Here is a 6246-nt window from a genome sequence, read left to right on the forward strand (position 1 = left end):
TGACTCTAGCAGTGACTTCCACCCTGAATACACACCCACATATTCAAGTGCTTCTTGAATAGGAATCTTAAATTTCATATGTCTAAAGTGAGTGATTTTTGCTATTTTACCCAACCTGCTCCTCTGTTCAGTAAACGAAATCTTCATCAAGTTAATTTGACCCAAGCTTTGGATACAACTTGGACTTTGCTGTTTCTCTCATACCCCCCCAAGCTCTGTGCCTGTCTGTCAGTAGGAGGAAGTTTATGGTACAACAAATTGCCCTTTACCTTAGAAGTGATGTTCCAGCATGCCCCAGACTGCTGGACCCCTCAAACTCCACCAGTGTGGCAGGCCGTGAAGTCTTCATTGAGTTAATCTCTCCCCTTTTGGTGTGCCTGTCTTAGTAGACCATAAACAGAACTTGCCACTTCCTGCTCAATGATGTGATGTTATAAATACAATAGACTAGTGTGATGCTGTGCAGAATGTCAAGATGATCAAAAATAGAGAGAGAGAGAGCAAGATAGCGAGAGAGTAGAAGAGTCAACATGTGAAAGGGAAATGCTTTTGATCATCCCTGATGATGAGTACACAGAAGGAATAATTCTCAAATAGTGACACACCAAACATGATTTTGAACTGCTCCACTAAACAACATACCATTTCTGGAGTAGTGGCTGCAGTTGGGGCTACTGTCTGGTTAGGTCTATGGTGAACAGCAATTACTTTCTATGTCCCAATTGACTTTGGCACAGATTAGACAAGTGATTTGAATAGGATATGATGGTACTTACAGCTCCTGAGTCCTTCATGTCTTCATGCTTCCCCTAACCTTTGCCATTTCTCCTACATGTATGATTGCTACTGATGCACTGTCTTGACGAGTTTAGGGGATTCTTCTTGGCTTTTCCTATTATAATGACACTTACTTCTTAGGTCAGAAAACTCACACGAAGCCTCTGCCCGCTTCAGTAGATAATCTCAGTTATACACTTGCAAACTTGGAGAATGACCTGGGAAACTCTACAGAACCAGTGAATCTACTGTGAGAAGAATTTGGGTCAAAAGTTCATATGTAAGGCTCCTAAAAATTTCTGGGTATTCCATTCTCCCTAATGTCCTGGCAATTGTCTATGGATACCATTGAGGAAAAGTAACTGAAATATTTACCCATTATGTTCTTGTAATAGTGCTGTAGGGTCTTTCCTCAGCAGAATCTAGTTTTCCCTCCTATCAGTGGGCTCTAGGTCTGTGAGCTGCCTTAGCTTTGCAAACTGATTAAGGGGCTCGGCACTGATGCAGCTGATAGAGTTTTCTGTTTGCTAGTTCTAGTTTCTTTTTATGAAAGCAATAGAGAAACACCACTGAAACCACAGGTTCCCCAGGCATCAGACATCCTGACTGTTACCCTGGGTCGACGCTAGTTACAGGAATTAGATCCACCTTGCATCTGATGGCTAACTGCTGGCATTTCCTCCACCAGAATTCAGTCATGTCATTGGTATTAGGGAACCTAGTTGTATGGCTGCATCATTCAGTCTCAACCCTGGCCTGTAGATAACAGCCACTGAGTAGCTTCTAAAATGGGCTAATGCCCCATTCATTCATGCGTTGCTTAGAGCCACAGTGAAGTGGGGAGGGGTCCCTTTGAATCCTCCCAGAGAACAAAGTCAGGTAGGAGGTCTCTTATTTTCCATGTGCAATTCATTCTAGCATCCCAGCTTCTCTTATCCTTCTCACCCCTTCCCATCTCTATGCTAAGGAGATCTGGCAACTCCACCATATTTATAGAAGGCATTGCTATGTCCACTATTCCAGGTGCCTTCACGTCAGACTCTCATGATCAGCTCTAGATGTCCTTCCAGAATTTGAACCTCAAGGAACGTGTGAGTGCTACCTAATCAATGACTTCTCTCTTCTTTAGCTTTATATTATTATCCTCCAATTCCACTCTCATTGTTTTAAGATCCAAGTCCCAAAGCAGGCGCAGTGGCTCACACCTGTAATCCCAGCACTTTGAGAGGCCGAGGTGGGAGGATTGCTTGAGGCCAGGAGTTAGAGACCAGCCTGGGCAACACAGGAAGACCCCATCTCTACACCCAAGTTAAAAACTTATCTTGGTATGGTGGCACATGCCTGTAGTCCCAGCTACTCAGGAGGCTGAGGCAGGAGGATTGCTTGAGCCTGGGAGGTTGAGGCTGCAGGGAGCTGTGGTTGTGCCACTGCACAGCCTGGGTGGTAGAGCAAGATCCTGTATCTAAAAACAAACAAACAAGCATACAAACCTATGTTTTCACAACTGATACAGATGAGCCCAGTGTTGCAACTCCTCTGACATACAGGAGTTTATTTCTGAGGAGTTGGGCTTGTACTGCCCAACTCGGGCTATGATAAGACCTGGTTATAGGACTAGGCCAGAGGTTCCTATATAGACCACTTGTATAAGAGTTCTTATCTGCCAGAGGTTCCTACACGTGTGGCCTCCAGACCACCAGCAGCAGCATCACCTGGTAAATAATTAACAGGACACATTCTCAGCACCAACTCCAACCCAAATGAATCAGACACCTTGAGAGTAGGTCTTAGCAACCTGTGCTTTAACTAGTCTTCCAAGTGATTCTCATGCATGCTCAGGTTTGAAAACCACAGTTCTGGAGAACACAAACACAGATGGGGGTGGGTCTTGCAGAACCTGTGCTTCATTTTCAAGGCACCTCTGCCAGGTGAGGTCACTGCAATGGCAGAAATGTTTCCTCTGCTCGGTGGAATGGGGCTGCTTGTGCCATTTAGGAATGTTCCAGGAGATGTTGGGAGCTTGAGATCCTCAAGCTTGTCCACCGAAATATTTCCATCACAGGTCTCAAGGTGCTGCTCTTGGGGCTCCTTGTTTAGTCACTTTTGGAGCTTAGTCTTATTATTATCCAACTTGGGACTGATTTGTTACATAATCAGCCCTGTAGCTGCAGAAGATGAAAGTCTTCTCTAGACCTTCCCAAGGGGCCTCCTGGCCATCACAGTATCCCTTAAATGGGCAACATGCCACTCTGAGTCTCTCATTTTCTTTTAGTGCGGTCCTTCTTCAGTCCTGTTGAAAGTAGCCCTCCCACACCAGACTCATTCCAATGATCACTGCCCGCATAGCAGTTAAGGATAGCAGCCACTCGTCTTTCAAAGCCTTTTCTTCCATCTGTAATGCATCCCAATTATCCACAGGTGAAAGCTTTTGCTACCATGAGGCCACTGTTTGCAAAGTGTAATCACCATCTCCACTTACCTCCAGCGAGCTAGTCCCTACTGCTTCAAATGACATGGACGACTTAAGTCCTGAATCCTCTCCAGTGGGTCTGTTTTCTAGTCCAAGAAGGTGCTTATTGTCTGTACCTGGATTCCATAGAAACTAGTGGCTAAGGCACAGCTTGTGGGATTACATTATTTATTTCTTTATTTTTAGAGACAAGGTCTCACCCAGACTGGAGTACAGTGGTGCAATCATAGCTCACTGCAGCTTCCAACTCCTGGGTGCAAGCAATCCTCCTGCTTCAGCCTCCAGAGTAGCTGGGATTACAAGTGCAGGCCACCACGCCCAGCTAATGTTTACATTTCTTGTAGAGATGGGGGTCTCTCTTTGTTGCCCAGCCTGGTAGTGAACTCCTGGCCTCAACCAATCTTCCGCATGAGCTGGTATGCCCAGCCTACTTTTTTTTTAATAAAAGAAAAGGCATACACATTTATCAACATGTCAACATGTACATGGGGAGAATGAGAGAGTGATTACCCCCAGAATTACATTTTACCAAGAGAAAGTAAGCTCAAGGAAATCAAGGAGGAATTGATGCATTTAAAGAACTGGCTATAGCTTGAGGAGCAAGCACAGCTGGCTGTTCAGGCAGGCTGGACATGTCTGCATAGGAAGAATGACATCATCCAGAGAAGTGCACCGGGGGAGGAAGGGGTATATATTAATAGGTATGGCTTTGCATCTGAGCTCCCCTACGGGGTCTTAACACTGTTGTACTTCAGGGCCATCCAAGAAACTCTGGGGGCTGGGGGCAGCGGGGAGGACCTTAGCAGGGCCTGTTTGTTTAGATTCCTCATGGCCTCTTTGTGCAGCATTCCTTCCCTCCAGGTATATATGGCAGGATCCCTCTGAAATGAGGTCTTATGACTTCATTTCAGGGGAGGTAGGCCAGAATTCTTTTATGGCCAGCTCTCAGGGAGGAAGGATGGGATATGGTCAGAGAGTGACCATCCTTGCTTCTGCTATTTTCTCAGTTTCTGAGGTGCTAGGTTTTGGGGTAGCATTTTTTGCACCCCGACACTAAGGAGGTATGTAAAATAAGTTCCAATACATGTATGTGCTAGGCAATGGCCTACCTGTTTCTCAGGGCTTTTTCCAATACACTATGCAGCAATCTTATTTCTTTGCGTTTATAATCTGTTTCTTCCTCTTCCATATTTAAAGACCAAAAAGCAAAAAAAACAAAAGAAAACAACACTTTTCTAGGTGAACCTTGTAAAGAATTAACATTAATAACTTAGTAAGGTCATTTATGAAAAAAGAAAAAAAGAATTAACGTTAATATGTTGATCATTTAATGGTAAGAGACTCTAATCTGATGCTCTGTATTTTTTAGTTTTTTTTTCCCCTAAGGGGAGCAGTCAAGAAACATTAGTTTAGCAACCCTCTAATTTTCTTGCCCTCTCATAAACCCCAAAGCAATAGAAATTTTCCATTTCCCATAACAATCAGTGGTCCATTAATTTTTAATCTTATTTTCTACACGTTTCCAAGTACAGTAGCTTTTCTTAGCCACAATCTTAGTATTTGCCTCTATTTCTCCTCTCTCTCGTCTCATGCCTGAATCATTACCAAAACTTATGCAAAGAACAAAGAGGCAAAATGATAGATGTATAAACAAACCTAAGACGACCTAATTAGTGTGAGGACCTGTCAGGTGTCTTCCTCTACTTTACCTGAGTCAGTCCTGACAGCAACTTGGAACTCAATGGTATTACTCCCCCTTTGGAGAGGAAGACATTCAGGCACACAGAAAATTGTCTTACTTTCCAACTCCCATCTTCATAAATCTGCTACATCTTACCTTCTGTCAGAGTCTTCATTTCCAGACACCTTTCTGTAGTACTTCCTTGCTGTGGTCAAATTACCACCCCAACATTGAGTGTTGGGACACCCTCCGTGTGCACTCCAGTCTAGGAAAAGGGCCACCATTCTCTCTTTCATAGCTACTATTACAGCTACCATCTTACAGCTTCCCTCCCTCCCTCCCTCCCTTCCTTCTCTCTTTCCTTCTGTCATTTTCTTTCTCCCTTATTTCTATCTTGTTAGCCTTACACCTTTTTTCCTCCCTCCCTCCCTTTCTTTCTTTCCTCCATCCTTTCGTCTTTCCTTTCTATCTCCCTTCCTTCCTCCCTTCCTCTCTTTCTTCCTTCCTCCTTTTCTTCCCACCCTCCCTTCCTGCTCTCCTCTCCTCCCTTCCTTGCTTCCTTTCTCCTCCCTCCCTTCCTGTCTCCCTCCCTGCTTTCTTTCCTTCCTTCCTCCCTACCTCCTTCTCTCCCTTCCTTCCTCCTTCCCTCCCTGCCTTCCTTCTTTTCCTTCCTTCCTTCCTCCCTTCCTCTTCCTCTCCCTCCATCCCCCTCTTCCTCCTTTCCTTCTTTCCTCCCTTCCCCTCCCTCCCTCCCTTCCTTCCTTCTTTCCTCACTCCCTCCCTTTTCCTCCCCTCCCTTCTTCTGTCCTTCCCTCCCTCCCTTCCTTAATCCCTTCCTTCCATCCTCCTCCCTCCTTCTCTCCCTTCCTGCCTCCCTCCTTCCCTTCCTTCCTTCCTTCCTCCTTCCCTCTCTTCCTTCCTTCTTTCCTTTCCTTTTCCTTCCTTCCTTCCTTCCTCCCTCCCTCCCTTCCTCCTCCTCTCCTTCCATCCCTCTCTTCCTCTTTTCCTTTTTTTCTTCCTTCCTTCCTCCCTATCTCCCTCCCTTCCATCCATCCTTCCTTCCTTCTTTCCTCCCTCCCTCCCTTCCTCTGTCCTTCCCTCCCTCCCTTCCTTAATCCCTTCCCTCCTTCCTTCCTTCCTTCCTCCCTCCCTCCCTCCCTTCTTCCTCATTCTGTTTTTCTTTCTTCATTATCCTTTCTTGTACTATCTTCTCCTTTTTAAGTTGACATCGCTTCATCTTAGCCCTAAGCTTCCTATGGACAGAAACTAAGTCTATTTTGCTTAGAATTCTATCTCTACTCCTCATCTGTTGAATAAA

Source organism: Homo sapiens, chromosome X (assembly GCF_000001405.40).
Source record: "Homo sapiens chromosome X, GRCh38.p14 Primary Assembly".
NCBI classification, from domain to species: Eukaryota; Metazoa; Chordata; class Mammalia; order Primates; family Hominidae; genus Homo; species Homo sapiens.